Below are 17,924 nucleotides of genomic sequence, written 5' to 3' on the forward strand. Positions count from 1 at the left end.
ACGTGGGACGCTCAGGATGTTTTTTGAATAGGCTTAGAGTCCAACTGAACTCCAGAGTGGCACAGAACACATGCCAGAAAATGCTTCCCTTCATATCTCAGGAAGGCCCTTCCAGCACCATGTTCCGAGATGGCTGCCTTCTGCACCTAAGAGTTGTCTGAACTCGAAAGAATCTCTTAACCTCTCTAAGCTTCAGTTTTATGTCCATAAAATGGAGATAATAGAGATCTGGCTTACCTCACAACTTTGGTGGGAGAATCAACTAAATAATGTATTTGAAAATGTTTTATAAGCTATAAAACACTACAGAAACACAAGAGTATCTTTCTTTCAAATTCATATCATAAACTTTTTTAGAACAGGAAGGTTTGTTAAGAATATTCAAGAGAATGTAAACAACAGATGTATGTGCATGTTTATACCAATAAGAGAAGTGGGCAGAATTTCTTTCTCCCACACCAAGGGAATTTCCTGATTATTCTTTGGGCTTGGGTTTAATGAATATTATATACTTTGTACGTACCAGTGACGTTTTATAACTTCGAGATGCCTTTGATTAATTAACAAGTGAAGTGAATAAAGTGAAACGGGGAAGGCCCTCTGGGCTATTTAATTGCTGAAGGATAGAGAGCACACATAGAGCTTGTGTTTCTCATGTGTTGTTCTCATAGATGGATCCAGCGATTTTTGTACATGGGAAATAGAATGGTAATGGGAGGTTTGGGGGTAAAGATTCTATAAAGGTATGTGATAAAATGGAAAGAATGTGATTTGGAGCCAGAAGACCCAAATGTGGTCCTGATTATGCCATTCACTGGCTGAGTTATTTGGGACAAGCCATAACCCTATGAGAATCAGATTCCTCCTCTGTAAAATGGGGTTTTTGTAAAAAAATCAGACTTCTCCTCTGTAAAATGTTTTTTTTTTACAATAGCCATTGTAAGGCTATTGTAAAAGAAAATGGGAAAATTATTTGTAATTCTAAATTGCTATAGAAATATTAACCATATGGCTTTGATAAGATATTTGAATCACATCTGAATTGATGAACAAGAAACCACTGGAAAATTCTGATTATATATGTCTCCACCAACTTCTTGACCTTATTTTTTAGCATTAAAAACACATAAAAATATAATACAGCAAAAGCACATAAAATATATAATATACCATGTACAAAAATAACTATTATGTGGAATTCAATATCATTTAGTTTAAGGTGGATGTTATAGAAATCTATGTCTTTATATTATTGACCCCTTACAGTACGGGGTGCATAGACGTCTGTTAAGAATGATTCTACTATGAAACAGACATAAAGGAACATTCTTAAAAGCCTGTAATTTCTAAATAAAAGTCAGTGAACCTCTTTCTTTTTTTCTTTTTTTAATTTATTTATATATATATATATATTTTTATTATACTTTAAGTTCTAGGGTACTCTGCCGTTAAGACCCTATATCTATAGACAAAACAAATCCTAACTGGCAGCGTATAAAGTACTCTTTAATTCACACAATGTGTTATATTTCTGGAAAAGATAGTCTCAGGAGCAGTTTAATCTGACACGTGTACCCATAAAAATGGAATTAAACTCAGCCAGGTGCGGTGACTCACGGCCTGTAATCCCAGCACTTTGGGAGGCCAAGGCGGGCCAATCACGAGGTCAGGAGATTGAGACCATCCTGGCCAACATAGTGAAACCCCGTCTCTACTAAAAATACAAAAATTAGCTCGGCGTGGTGGCGCATGCCTGTAATCCCAGCTACACAGGAGGCTCAAACAGGAGAATCGCTTGAACTTGGGAGGCGGATGTTGCAGTGAGCCAAGATCGTGCCACTGCACTCCAGCCTGGCAGTAGAGCGAGACTCTGTCTAAAAAAAACAGGAATTGAACTCAAACTTTTCAAGTTTCTGAAAAGGAACTGATTGCCCAGCTTTTTATAGAATGAATCACAAACCTCATTTTTACCTATAAATAATATTGCTTTATTTTATATAATAATCACTGGAATTTTTAGAAAGTGTTAGGAAGGAGTTGTTATAATAATCAGTTATATATAACTGAATTTAATGATTCAGCCTCATGCTAAACTATATATAATTCTTAATTTCAAAAAACTTTTTAGTATAATAAACATGAAGGTAAAAGCCTGCCTTTGTAAGTTTCTAAATGTGAATCCAATAATGTATTTTTTTTCTTGCGGTGAATTTCAAGATCGTTTGTTGGCCTTCTGCTATGCAAGGGGTTGGAATTCATTTTCTCTGCAATGATGATGAGCACAAAACATATAGAGAAGCCATCTTGTTCAAGTGAAAGCTGGCATGGTAAAATGGGAATGGTTTATTAAGAACTAGTATAAGTGGTTGATTGGATAAGAACTTAGAAAACAAAACAAATAAATAAGGCTCTAAAACATTTGAAAGTCTCAGTGGCAACTTAGGAAAATAGATATGACTCAGATTATAATTTAAATAGTGCCTATGCATTTGGATCACTAAAGTTATATGGTCAACTAGGGAGAAAACCTAAAGATATCAATAGGTCAGATGAATCTCTTAAAGGATGACTTATTAGAATCCTTTCTACAGTCTTATTAGGCCCTAAATGTGGAGGTGACACATGATCCTTAGGCATGAATCCAGAAAACATACCACGTAGTCCCAAAATGAGGGTTATTGCAACGCAATTCCCAAAGTTTATTGATGCAAGAGAGTTGTTTTGTAATAACCTGGACAAATCCCTTTAGAAGATGGGTTTCTTTATGTCCAGGCCAAATTTAGCTTTGTGTTTTCATGGCCATGTTTATATATATATTCTTATATTTGGAAACACTATATTTATAGACTCTTCTAGAAATCTCCACTTATCCAAATGACATATTTTTGCTCATCTATTCTTTTTTACAGCAGCCCTATAATTCCTTAACTTTCACTTCTATGAACTCTTTCTAGTATAATTATAATTGTTTAGTAGTGACTGAGGTGTTCATCTCTTTTCTTCCTTGGGAAATGGAACAAAGATGAAGGTGTTATTTATTATTATTATTCTCTGTATGATAGATTATTAAAATGACTACAAATTCCTTGCGTCTGCCTCCACACTCTTATTAGGTGATGTTGCAGATCTTTCCTTCAAGAGGGTTGGTCTATATCCCCTTCCTTTAAAGAATAGGCTGGTCATGTGACTTACTTTGGCCAATGGGACATTAGCAAACAATGCAAACAAAGGCTTGAAAAGCACTTGTGCATTGGGGTTCGCTTTCTTATTGGGCTTGGAATTCTGAGACAGGCCACTGAGTGGACAACATGGGCTAACTACTGAAAGATGGAAGAAAACTGGGGTCTTGTCTACCAGCCAGCCAGCCATCAAGTTGGGTGAGGCCATGCAAGATCATGCTGTCACCATCAAATACACTAGCTTACCACAGATGCAAGAGAATGTTCAGAAAAGATCAGATAAACTTGCCCAGGCCAAAACAACTATCCAATTGACTCACAGAATCATAAGCCAGATCATGAGGATTAAAGAAAGTTCCCACGCTGTATTACTTATCTATTGCTGTGTAATAAATCACCCTCAAACTTAACAGCTTAAAGTAACAAACATTTATTATCACATATCCTATATTCTATAGACTATATATCTATAGGATATTTTATATCTTATCTCCTCTATTCTATAGGTAGGAATCCAGGCATAGCTTATCTGGATGTCTCTGGCTCAAGGTCTCTCATAAAGCTGAAGTCAAGGTGTTGGCTGAAGCTGCCGTCATCTCAGAACTTGACTAGGAAAGGATCCAGTTCCAAACTCACTCACATGACTTTGGTGAACTTCAGGTCCTCTCTGACTGGGCTGGAGATATCAGTTCCTTGCCACATCCCCTCCTTGCCTTGGCCTCCTGCCATTGAGCTGCTTATATCATGGCAACTTGCTTCCCCCAGAGAGAAAGATCCAAGCAAGAGCAAGTGAAAGAAGCCCTGAAGGCAGAAGCCACAGTCTTTTTATAACCCAATCTTGGAAGTGATATTTCATCACATCTGCCAAATTTATTTGCTAGAAGCAAGTTACTAATGCAGCCCTTATTCAAGGGAAGGAATTATCCAAGGGCATCCTAACAGGAGCAGGTATCACTGAGAGTCATTTTTAAGTCTGCTTCTTAGAAAAATAAAATTTCTGGTTTTTGTATAGCCATAGTGACAGGTAGCCACCATACCAATTTTAAACACATTAAATAGATCAACTGTAATGTGTCTCAGTGAACATGCTTTTGCAAGCCCAACCAGTCAATATTAACCCCTCATTTCTGTAAATCCATCAGTCAGGAATGTATTCACCAGAAGAAGCACATCTCTGAGTATGCCAACCAATCAACTAAAGTCTCACCCAAGTAACTGTGGTTCAACAAGTGATGTCAACTCACTTGATGACAATGAGTTTCAGATAATGACCCTGAAAATCCACCAATCTCTGAACTCCATGTATCCCCCAAACATTCTATGAGGTCAGCAGTCTGCTCAGCTAGGAGAGATGGCTTGATCAGCACTGTCCTTCCCTACCATGTCAGCGATAAGTTGAGCCTTGTGTTTTTTGTTTGTTTCACATATTGATAATGGTCTATCACCTTCTAACAGTTCAATAGATGTTGTTTTTAGCCACTAAGTTTTGGTAGCAAGCTGTTAGGCAGCAAAAGTTAACTGATATACTGGCAAATAGCAGATCCTTCAGAAGTCATTCTGTTTTTCATCCTCAAAAGAATGGAAGCTCAGCTCATTTGGCATGGAAATTGGGAAATATAGATTGTCAGCCATTAATGGGAATAATGGCTTATAAAAGTGGGTAAGAGTTAAAGTTATTATTGTCCTGAATTCAGATTAATTTGTGATTCAAGACATTCTGTCACTCCTTTTAAAACCTAATTATAGATGTCTTAAGTGTTTCTGGAAAAATCTGTTAAATTCCTTCAGTGGACTTGACTTTTCCTCTTAAAATACTAAAGATGTTGGTGCTGACATTGTGAAGGCACATACTCTCACGTAACTGCAAAATAATTTCTGAGAAGCTGGTATCTGTAAGGTAACTTTTAAAGGCTCTGATTTATTTCTGTGGTTAAGAAAAGAGGAATTATTAAGAAATTGTTGGAAATGTGCCGTGGCTAGGTTTTTCCTCCTCATATTTGTAGGCTTTCATGTGAAGCTCCCTTAGCTCAGCATTGGTCAAAACATGTTTGTTCCATAGTATCTTGTGCTAATTTTCTAGAAGAACAGTACATTAAAAAAAAAAAAAAAAAAAAAACAAACCTGGAGGTTTGTCACATACTGGTCAACAACCAGATGATCGGTAATCCCTACGAAAGAAGAATGTGGCAAGAAATAATCTAAAACATAAATTATTATTTCCCAAACCAATTACATTTAAAGCATTTTAACTTAAAGCACATCTCAGTGTATATAAAGAACTGGTGTTGAAAGGCTGTAATTGGAGATAAAATCAAGGTCGAATCTAAAATACTGTAATAAAGAATTCCAAGTACAAGTTGAGAGTACAGGGAGTTTTTGAGATAGTTTAAATACAGCAATGACATAATCAGAGCCATGTTTTAGGAATATAAATTTGGTATATGTGTAGGGTAAACAGTAGTGGGGAGAAAATAGATGGAAGCAGACTAGTTAGGAACCATCACAGCCCAGGTCATGGGCATTAGTGCTCCTCTACCATCCACACACCAACCACCTTAGAAGACACCTAACAGTTGTACACCAGTCTCTTATCTATAAAACAAAGTGAGGTTAAGCTACATGATCCTTAAGGTCCTTTGTAAAACATAAAAACAAAAACAAAACTCCTTAACTTTCTGGGGTCTTAGGAAGCAACATTAAAGCCATGGAAGAGTTTGGGCTATTAAAAGAGCAAAAACCAACCTTGGTTGAGTGTTGGTCAAAGATAAGCCTCCTTTGCTTACTTCAACCACATCCCAAAGCAGAAATCCCACTTACACAATAGTTGACAGATGGTCTTGAGTCTCTGCTTCAATACCTCCAGTAATATAGAACTCACTCTTATGAAAGAGATCACTTCATTTCTGGGCAGCTCCAACTGTGTTTTCATGTCCTTTGCTACTGAGGTAAAATCTGTTTGTTCTTATTAGTTCTGCTCTCTGGCATTACACAGAAGTCCACTTTTGCTTTTGTGTGACCACTAAACTTGAGCCCATCCCTCTAAACTAAACACTCTAAAGTATTTTTAACTGTTTTTAGAGGATGTGATTTTTGGACTTTTCACCATCTCAAACACCCAGAAGGAAAGTGTCACAGCTTATGTGAATCCCCAAATGCTGCTGTGACAGTTCCCGGCTCCTTCTCAATCCACCCTTGCCCTGGCTGTCAGAATGAGAACACAGCTCATACACTCTCCCTCCAAGATTAAAACTCATGGTTCTCTAGTGTGTGGGCTCCAAGGATGAGGTTTGTGGAATGACTCCAGAGTGATCTGTGGATTAATAAACTGACTGGGACTGAACATCCCTCATTCCCAGTGGGAGGGGCTGTACCTGAGCCCAATTTGCCAAATAAATGGTGACCTCTTGATTGGTGGCTTCTTTCCCACAGCTCAAGGGGCTGTGAATTCCCATGGGCCCTCAAAGTCCGCCAGACCAGGTCAGATGGCACTTCTCGCCACTCCCCTAATCAGCAAGCACTTAAGTTCAGCCTGCTTAACACCTGAGTCTGAAGATTCTTGCTCTCCCAAATAATCCACTTTCAAGTTTATACCATAAGGTTTGATAGCAGGAGTTCAGGGTCCTTTCCCCGCAATGCAAATTCACTGTGTGTCTGGCTACACTGCCCTGGGTTCCAACTCCTGAGCCTCAGGGGTTCTGAAAACACACAGGTCTCCAAACCTCTTCTTTCTGATCCTTGGGTTACATATTTCCCCAATAAATCTTGTACCATCTGCCTACTCTGAAGTTGTGAAATTCATAGTCATCCATTCTACCAAAGAGTTATAGTACATGCACATATACATACACACAGAATTTACACAAATGTACACATTGTTTCCCTCTTAATTTCTTCCTTTTGCTGGGAGATTAGGTCTGGTGTTCACATTGAATGTATTATTGCTTCTGTAAGCCATGTGGATTGAATTTCTCTCATAATGGATTTTCTGAAAGCAAAAGTATTAATTCCAATTACCTGTTTATTTCTCAAGTGGCAATACCTGCTCTTAACCCAAAGGGCATAATGTTACTGCACAAATATGCCTATCAGCTGAAGATAATATCTCAGGGGAGGTTGCTCAGGAAGTTTCCAGGCCTCCAGATAAGCTCCTTATTTGGGAGGATCCTCCAGACAGCCAGCCTCTGGAGTGCAACCAAGCAGGGATCAGGGGCTAGGGTTTGTTTACACAGATCTCTAATCCCTGAGCCCAGGGTCTCTGGTAGTTTCTTTGTGAAAGCAAGGTTTTTAGTTCACAAACTTGAACCATTGTTACTCAAGCTTGTCTTTGGTCACTCAGTCATCTTTCCACCCAGCATTATATAAATGCTCCTCCAATCATCTGCAAGCAGGAAGGGGTAATGTTAGCTATTGGCTGGGAGTTCCAGATGGTCACTGGGGCAAACTGGAGACCTTTATGGAGTTGAGGAGACTCTTATGGAGTTGAAGGGGCTTGCAGGTATGATTTAAAGAGCAGGAAGTCTAAGGGAGGAGTTCACACCTGTTCTTTATCTTTTGCTAAGAAACCTCCATATTATGGCCATCAGGTAAAGAGGCAGGCCATTTCTCAGATTAGAAAGAACCATTTTCCATAGTAAAGGCAGACCCAATTTCCTCTGAATGGTATGCACTCATAGCATGCCTTCTGGCCATGAGACTTCATGATGAATATTTCAGCCTGCTCATAAGAGCTGGGGAGGATCTATTGGGTATTAATATTTACTATGTACCAGGCACAGTTCTAATTGTTTACAGATTTTAACCCTTTTAATCCACAGGAGAGGAATCTGGCAGAGATATTCTTATTAACCCCATTTGATAAATAAAGAAACTAAGGCACAGGGAGTTAGTAGCCTGCTCTGTGTTTCACGGTGAAAAAGTGTGGCAGAGGCAGGATTTGGACCCAAACAGTCTGGCTCCAAAGTCCAGGCTTCACGGGGGCACATACTGCCCTTCCAGACATCTCTGTCCCCTCAGGGTGACCCCCAACTTATCCTTCCAAGTCCGTCTCCCTACTCCTCTGTAGTAAAACTGGAGTATTCACTCTTTTCTGAACAAAATCTGTTTTCCCCACCTGTGTGTCCTCTCATGCCCATCTCCACACCCCATTCCCACCTGTAAATCTCTCATCAGTTTTGGGGAGAGTCCATCTCAAAGATACTATCAAAACAAAAGAAACTAACATTTGCTAAGCTCCTGTTACCTTTTGGGTTTTGTGCTGAGGAAACTCACATAAAATATTTTATTTAATTGTCAGTCTAACTCTTTGACATAGGATAATTTCCTCATTTTCCAAATAAGAAAAAGCTCTCAGATGAGTACCCTGCTCAGCTGTAAAGAGCAGTACTGGGCTGACTGCAGCTGTCCACAGTGGTGCCTTAAGCATTAAGGGTGTCCTCCCTTTAGCTTGGTCCTCCCACGTAGCACTTTGTGCAGCTCTCACGACACTTCTTTGTACCTTATAGGTATTTGTGGAATACTCCTATAATACGACTTCTGTAGCAGGAATTGTATCATGCTCCTTTCTTCCCTGGGGTGTCCAGCCTAGTCCTTTGTACCTAGGCTAATTAATAAGTATCTGTGTAACTGAATGAAACTGGATGGAGGATTAGGGAGGCAGGCATTGTGGAGGAGACAGGCTCAGTCTTGCCAGCTTCAACACTTCTTCCAAGTTCCTAAATAATGAGCTGTCAAGTTTCCTTGAGTTGCTAAGCCTTTTGGGAAGGAAAAAGTGAACTGAAACAAGCAGCTACGTGCCTCAATCCACCAGAATAGGAAGCTCCTGCTTTCAGACATGACGAGTCTCCAAAATATGTGGTGTTAACTCCAATCGCGCACATCTAGCACAACTTGTGACTGCACAGGCGTGTGCAAACGAGCTCAGGAGTAGAGACATTCTAACCCAAATGTGACAGAATACATTAAAACACCACAAAAGCAACTTAACTTGAATATTACATGGCTCCTACAAAAGAAAATAATTTGCCTGGTAACTTTCTTTTATCAAATGCCATGTTTTTACTTAAATGTGTCTATTAATTAGCCTCAGTTTGTTGTATGCCAGTTGTGTAAGTTATTAGCTGAGGAGTGCAAGGTACCATGTCTGTTCCACCATTGCTGGATCCTAAGTTCCTGAAAATGAACAAAACAGGACAAAACAAATATTTCCTTTTCTATTTCTGCTGCCTTCTTCTCTCTCATTCTGAAGCAGGGGGCTGAGAGTTATAAAGATAATCCAGCCATTAAGCAAAAATAGTTTTAAGTACCAGCCCTCTTTATCTTGCTCTGATTCCAAATGGCTGAAAAACAGGAGAGGCTTTAAAATCCATAAAGTTGATGATACAGTTGCCAATAAAGTACTGGAGAAAGAGAAGAAATAACTTAGCTTACATTTTATCCTCTATATAAAAATGGTTATAGGGCAGTCAAGGCAGCATGGCGTGGGAGAAATTGGATTTCAATTGATCAAAAGGCTGGATCATAAATTTGAAAGGGGAAATACTGGATGCAGGGAGACCAGGAGATGAGTTATGGCAGTAGTTTTATAAAAGATGATAAGGACACCCCAAATCAGTGTTAGAAGGAATTATCATTTGGGAGGTGCTGGGAAAGGGTTGGTAGTCAACTGGATGAGGATTGGTGAGGAATCAAGGGCCATTCCCTATCTGACTCTTGGGTGAACAGTATCACCACCAATCGACTCCAGGGTAGCAGGAGGTGGAACAGCTTAGAGTTGCTTGCTGCAGTTTCCTGGTAAAGTAGGGAGCAATGTCACTGGCTACTAATGAGAGGAGAGCAAGTATGTTAGGTTCTTGAGGATAGTGGAGGTCTACAATGGTAACTGAATACAGAGAAGTTACTGACCAAAGGAAACGAAAAGAGAGAAGGGCAGAACCGGAAAACACACACTGGTGGAGAAGTATGACTTTCTAGCAGTGTTCCATTGGCCAGCTGTAAGAAGAGAGAGAGCAGAGTGTGACAGCAATAAATACAGAATAAGCTTCATTAAAGGAGATCTGTCAGATGACCTTGATGTTTACTTGGTCTAACATACTCTTGATTGCCAAAGTCTTTACTGAGATAGTCAGATAATAACTACTCAGGCCAGATACTGACCCACACTATTTGTGTTTTCAACTAATCAGTGTATAAACTAATACATTTAGAGTAATCAACGTGAGAAGGATTTGAGGGAGCTAGGACTGGAAGCAAGGAGACTAGCCAGGGGCAGTCCATGCAAAAGATAAAGTTCTGATCCAATGCAATATTAGTTGGGACATAACTCAGGATTTTATGAAGCCAACAAGAATGTTTTTTGTTTTGTTTTGTTTTGTTTGTCTGTTTTAATGTATGACTGAGTCCCCAAAAGAAAAGTGAAGACATAGCATTTTTTTTATTATACTTTAAGTTTTAGGGTACATGTGCACATTGTGCAGGTTAGTTACATATGTATACATGTGCCATGTTGGTGCGCTGCACCCACTAACTCGTCATCTAGCATTAGGTATATATCCCAATGCTATCCCTCCCCCCTCCCCCCACCCCACAACAGTCCCCAGAGTGAGATATTCCCCTTCATGTGTCCATGTGATCTCATTGTTCAATTCCCACCTATGAGTGAGAATATGCGGTGTTTGGTTTTTTGTTCTTGTGATAGTTTACTGAGAATGATGATTTCCAATTTCATCCATGTCCCTACAAAGGACATGAACTCATCATTTTTTATGGCTGCATAGTATTCCATTGTGTATATGTGCCACATTTTCTTAATCCAGTCTATCATTGTTGGACATTTGGGTTGGTTCCAAGTCTTTGCTATTGTGAATAATGCCGCAATAAACATACGTGTGCATGTGTCTTTATAGCAGCATGATTTATAGTCCTTTGGGTATATACCCAGTAATGGGATGGCTGGGTCAAATGGTATTTCTAGTTCTAGGTCCCTGAGGAATCACCACACTGACTTCCACAATGGTTGAACTAGTTTACAGTCCCACCAACAGTGTAAAAGTGTTCCTATTTCTCCACATCCTCTCCAGCACCTGTTGTTTCCTGCCTTTTTAATGATTGCCATTCTAACTGGTGTGAGATGGTATCTCACTGTGGTTTTGATTTGCATTTCTCTGATGGCCAGTGATGTTGAGCATTTGTTCATGTGTTTTTTGGCTGCATAAATGTCTTCTTTTGAGAAGTGTCTGTTCATGTCCTTCGCCCACTTTTTGATGGGGTTGTTTGTTTTTTCCTTGTAAATTTGTTTGAGTTCATTGTAGATTCTGGATATTAGCCCTTTGTCAGATGAGTAGGTTGCGAAAATTTTCTCCCATTTTGTAGGTTGCCTGTTCACTCTGATGGTAGTTTCTTTTGCTGTGCAGAAGCTCTTTAGTTTAATTAGATCCCATTTGTCAATTTTGTCTTTTGTTGCCATTGCTTTTGGTGTTTTGGACATGAAGTCCTTGCCCATGCCTATGTCCTGAATGGTAATGCCTAGGTTTTCTTCTAGGGTTTTATGGTTTTAGGTCTAACGTTTAAATCTTTAATCCATCTTGAATTGATTTTTGTATAAGGTGTAAGGAAGGGATCCAGTTTCAGCTTTCTATATATGGCTAGCCAGTTTTCCCAGCACCATTTATTAAATAGGGAATCCTTTCCCCATTGCTTGTTTTTCTCAGGTTTGTCAAAGATCAGATAGTTGTAGATATGCGGCGTTATTTCTGAGGGCTCTGTTCTGTTCCATTGATCTATATCTCTGTTTTGGTACCAGTACCATGCTGTTTTGGTTACTGTAGCCTTGTAGTATAGTTTGAAGTCAGGTAGTGTGATGCCTCCAGCTTTGTTCTTTTGGCTTAGGATTGACTTGGTGATGCGGGCTCTTTTTTGGTTCCATATGAACTTTGAAGTAGTTTTTTTCCAATTCTGTGAAGAAAGTCATTGGTAGCTTTATGGGGAGACAAAGACAAAAACCACATGATTATCTCAATAAATGCAGAAAAAGCCTTTGACAAAATTCAACAACCCTTCATGCTAAAAACTCTCAATAAATTAGGTATTGATGGGACGTGTTTCAAAATAATAAGAGCTATCTATGACAAACCCACAGCCAATATCATACTGAATGGGCAAAAACTGGAAGCATTCCCTTTGAAAACTGGCACAAGACAGGGATGCCCTCTCTCACCATTCCTATTGAACATAGTGTTGGAAGTTCTGGCCAGGGCAATTAGGCAGGAGAAGGAAATAAAGGGTATTCAATTAGGAAAAGAGGAAGTCAAATTGTCTCTGTTTGCAGACGACATGATTGTATATCTAGAAAACCCCATTGTCTCAGCCCAAAATCTCCTTAAGCTGATAAGCAACTTCAGCAAAGTCTCAGGATACAAAATAAATGTACAAAAATCACAAGCATTCTTATACACCAACAACAGACAAACAGAGAGCCAAATCATGAGTGAATTCCCATTCACAATTGCTTCAAAGAGAATAAAATACCTAGGAATCCAACTTACAAGGGATGTGAAGGACCTCTTCAAGGAGAACTACAAACCACTGCTCAAGGAAATAAAAGAGGATACAAACAAATGGAAGAACATTCCATGCTCATGGGTAGAAAGAATCAATATCGTGAAAATGGCCATACTGCCCAAGGTAATTTACAGATTCAAGACATAGCATTTTTAAGAGGCAGTGTGACTTTACAGGAAAGAACACTGGCTCTGGTAAGTCAACTCTCTCAGTTCAAATCCCAACTATATTGCATACGAATTGTGTGACAACTCTTATGAGGCACAATAATCATTTCCATTTTACAGATGAGGCACAACCAGGTTTAGGTAACTTGTTCAAGTTACACAGTTGTAAAAATTAAATAGATTAATACATGCAAAGGGCTTGGTAAAACTGCCTGATACCTATTAAGAACTCAGTAAACATTTGTATTATTATTATGTATATTTAACCCAAATATTGTCCTCACCTCAAAAAAATCATCTTGTTCTTGATATTAAAATCAAAATGCTTAAAGGTTCCATCTACAGTGCCCTCTCTGAGATTTGTGTACATTCCTGTAGATTGCAGCAGTTCTTGTTCAAATTTTCTTTGCTCATGAAACTCTTCAATTCACTTCTCGTCTCCTGTGGCTGTTCTGTTTTTCTACCTTGTTTTGGTTCAAACGTAGAGCACAGCCTCCTCTCCTAGATATCTGTAAAGTGCTTCCATCACAACGCCGTTAGAAAAATTTTGCCCAAAGTTTAGAGGGTGATAGAGTGGCAGCTTATACCATAGCACAACAACTTAACATGGAATATTAGACACCTTTGTTTTCGCAAGTCCATTGGACATATCCATTGTCAGGAATGTATACTAGTGATTTTCTTGCCTCACATGACCAAGTTGCTGAACCTCTTGCTCTCTCTTTCAGCCTCAACTTCTTTATCTTTCTTCCTTTTTAGCCTAATAGCCTCATGTCTTCTTTTGGCTGCCAAAGGAACTCCGTCTTTTTCTTTATTATTTGCAGCAGTTAGCTTTCTCTTTGTTTCACATCTCCGCCTTGCAGAACCATGATCTATCAAGGTGTTTTGTCAAACAAAAAATAATACTTTCCCCGGGAAAAAGCTACTGTTAACTTTTAAAGTACATTTTCCTCATTAAATGTACTAACATTCACAATTAAAAAATGCAACATAGTGTTGTTCTAATATAAGTGTCTAGTTACTCTATATGATTCACAAACCCAAGTAATGAAAAATCCCTTTTTATTCAATTTGACAATACAGTATTTTGTTCAGGATTTTTGCATCTTTGTTCATGAGAGAGATAGATTTGCAATTTTCTTTTTTGGTAATGTTCTTTTCAGTCAAGGTTATACTGGCTTTAGAAAATAAATTGGAAATGCATATTTTCCTTTTTCTCTTCCCTGGAAAAGTTTGTATAAAAGTGTTATGTCTTCTTTAATGTTTAGAAGAGATCACGGGTAAAACACTGGGCCTGGATTTGTGTGTGTGTGTGTGTGTGCATGTGTGTGTGTGCGTGCGCGCGTGTGCATGTAGAGTTCATTGAGGAGAACTCAAATTGTTTTTATTTTAATGTTTCTTACATGTGTTAAAACTACTCCATATGGCCCATAGTTTCTATACAAATATAAGAACAGAATCAATTTACCTGCTAAAGATAAAGCTGTGAAACCTAGTAACTTTCAAAGTTAACAGTATTCTCTGATGTAATGAATAATTGATTTTCATGGGCTAGGTTGCAATGTGAAATGTGAATGTGGTATTGTTTGGGTCTTCTGTTGTTGCCATACCTAAGTTCTCTTGTGCCATGAGATGACTCAAGTTTCCCACCCCTTTTCTTTATTCAAATGTGAGAAATTTATTTTCATAAGGCTGACAGTGACATCATTTGGTCTTCATTTAGCAGAAATGCCTGATTTATGCATTAAATACTCAACTGTTCTTTTTATATTAGCCTGTAATCATTAGAATACATGCTCTCTTATATTACTTGGTGGCAGGAGGTTGTTTTATGTTGTCAAATCAATTTCATTTATCTACTAATATAAGAAATTGAAATTGCATTCTATGGGAAAGCCTTTTAATTGAAAACAATCATTCAAAAGAGAAGTTGCATATTCATAACTAGGAAAAATAATTCAACTCTAGCATAACTGGGAACAAGGGAAGTTGTTTATGTTCTAATATTAAGACACCTAACGTCTGGCTGCTGACCCTGACATCAGGCAAGCATGTTTCCAATGCATTAAACTTAAATATAGTCACTTAAAGTAATTCCTCAGGACTACTGCAAACACAAATTCAGAAGTAGAAACTAAAATTGCATGATAATATTTGAGGATAAAGTGGTTACATAGATGGCTACAAATGTGTTTATATTGTCTTTGAGGATTATCATTGAAAAGAAAATACACACTCACAGAATTTCTATACAGAACAGGTGGACCTTTGAAAATGCATTTAAAGACCCTCACAATTCTAATAACCCTAGTGAGAAACACTATTCCATACTAAACAATCAATTTTTTAAAACTCTACTTTTGTCTGGCAGCCTATTCATTCATCATTCTTATTCTGTTGTCATTTTCTGTGTGTGCTCTGTTCTTTTTGTTCCAAAGCCAGTGTCTACATTTAAGAGGGTCCATACTATACGGGCAGAAAGATTTTAAGCTTTGCATCTGCACATGCAAAATTTACTCTAAGTATTGAGTTCTTTGCTGTCCTGTAAGAAGCTCTGTTAAGGTGTGGCTGAGTAATATTAATTCTTATGGCTTTTGTTGTTTGTGTATTTGTTTATGCTGTGCCCTTACCCTCTTTGGGCTGGACTAGACGTTTTTATTGCTCCAAGAGGAAATCACCATGGCAGAACTGGAGGATATATGCATTAACTTCTTGATTTTTAAGTGTGAGAAAGCCTGTCCTGTTGAAACTGCTGAGCCAGTTCACTAGCACCTCTGCTCCCAGCAGAAGAGGGAGGAGGGGTCTCGGTCGGAGTTAGGAGATGATTTAGAGTAGAGGCGGAGAGTTCACTGATGGTGAGAATCTCTGCACAGGTGTGCTGTGCCCTGCTTCCTTGCTTACTTGTTAGCTCCAAACTTGGGGAGGGTGGGTGGTTAAAGAAACAATTCTCCAAAATGTGAGAAGAAGAGATAGGCACACTGTTTTCTCTCTAGAGAAATAGAACAAGAATAGAATAAGAGACAGCTGCATGGGGAGCAGGACTGGAGAGGTGTGAGGCAGCCCATCAGGTTTTCTGTTTAACAACAGAAATGGGGTTGGTAGCAGAGTAGAATTTTCTATAGCCCTAAGAAAGGCAGCAAGCCGGCTGGGCGCTGTGGCTCACACCTGCAATCCCAGCACTTTGGGAGGCCAAGGCGGGTGGATCACTTGAGGTCAGGAGTTTGAGGCTAGTCTGGCCAACATGGTGAAACCCCATCTCTACTAGAAATATAAACGTTAGCCAGGCGTGGCGGTGAGTGCCTGTAGTCCCAGGTACTTGGGAGGCTGAGACAAGGAGAATCACTTGAACCTGGGAAGCGGAGGTTCCAGTGAGCAGAGATCACGCCACTGCACTCCAGCCTGGGCAACAGAGCAAGACTCCATCTCAAAATATAAATAAATAAATAAATAAATAAATAAATAAATAAGAGGCACCAAACCTTGCTAAGAGCACACTGGCAGACCTGAGGCTGAGGTATAGACAGTATGTCTAAAAATCACTGAGAGTGTGACCTCTTAAAAGATGTCAGCATGGAGGAGCAATGCCAATAGCCAGGTGGAACAATGACGATTCATGGCAGTGAATACCAGTGTAGACAGATGGCTAAGGACTACACGCCTCCCTTGATGCCATGTTGGCACATGAACCCCAAACATAGATGCTACCTTATAGTGAAGGAAGGGCAGGGGACAATCCCCAATGACTGAACCTATGACGACTACTTATAAGAGAACATCTGGTATTTGACTTATAAATGAGAACACATGGTATTTGACTTTCTGTTTATGAGTTGTCTCACTTAAGATAGCAGCCTCCAATTCCATCCATATTGCTGCAAAAGACATGAATTGATTCTTTTTATGGCTGAATAGTACTGCATTTGTATATGCAATACTATTGCATATTTTATTAATCTAATCATCTGTTGATGAACACTTAGGTTGATTTTATATCTTTACTATTTTTCACAGAATTAGAAAAAAATCATAAAATTAATATGGAACCAATAAAGAGCCTGAATAGCCAAAGCAATCCTAAGCAAAAAGAACAAGCTGGAGGCATCATATTACCCAACTTCAAATTACACTACAACACTATAGTAACCAAAACAGAATGGTACTAGTACAAAAATAGATACATAGATCAAGGGAACGGAACAGAGAATCTGAAATAAAGCCACATATCTACAGCCAACTGACCTTTGACAAGGTCAACAAAAACATACACTGGGGAAAGGATACCCTTTTCAATAAACTGTGCTGGGAAAATTAGATTGCCATATACAGAAGAATAAAACTGAACCCCTTTCTCTCACCATATACAAAAGACAATGCAAGATGAATTAAACACTTAGATGTAAGACTTGGAACTAGGAAAATAGTAGAAGAAAACCTAGGGAGAACTTTTCTGGACATTGGTATAGACAAAGAATTCATGACTAAGAACTCAAAAGCACAAGCGTCAAAACCAAAGATAGACAAATGGGACTTAATTAAACTAAAGGGTTCTGCACAGCAAAAGAAATAATCAATAGACTGAACAGACAACATGGAGAATGAAAGAAAATATTTGCAAACTATGCAACCAATAGGGGACTAATATTCAGAATTTATAAGGAAGTCAGACAACTCAACAACAACAAATACCAAATAACCCTGTTAAAAAGTGGGCAAAAAAACATGAGCAGACATTTTTTTGAAAGAAGTCACAAAAAACATATGAAAAAATGCTCAACATCACTAATCATCAGAGAAATGCAAATTAAAACCACAATGAGATATCATCTTACACCAGTTAGAATGGCTATTATGAAAAATACAAATAAAAAAAAGCAGATGTTGGCAAAGATGCAGAGAAAAGGAATGCTTACAGACTGTTGGCGGGAATGTAAATTAGTACAACCTCTGTGGAAAACAGCGTGGATATTTTTCAAAGAATTTAAAATAGAACTACTATTTGATTCAGCGATCTCACTACTGGGTA

This window comes from Homo sapiens, chromosome 12 (assembly GCF_000001405.40).
Source record: "Homo sapiens chromosome 12, GRCh38.p14 Primary Assembly".
Classification (NCBI taxonomy): domain Eukaryota; kingdom Metazoa; phylum Chordata; class Mammalia; order Primates; family Hominidae; genus Homo; species Homo sapiens.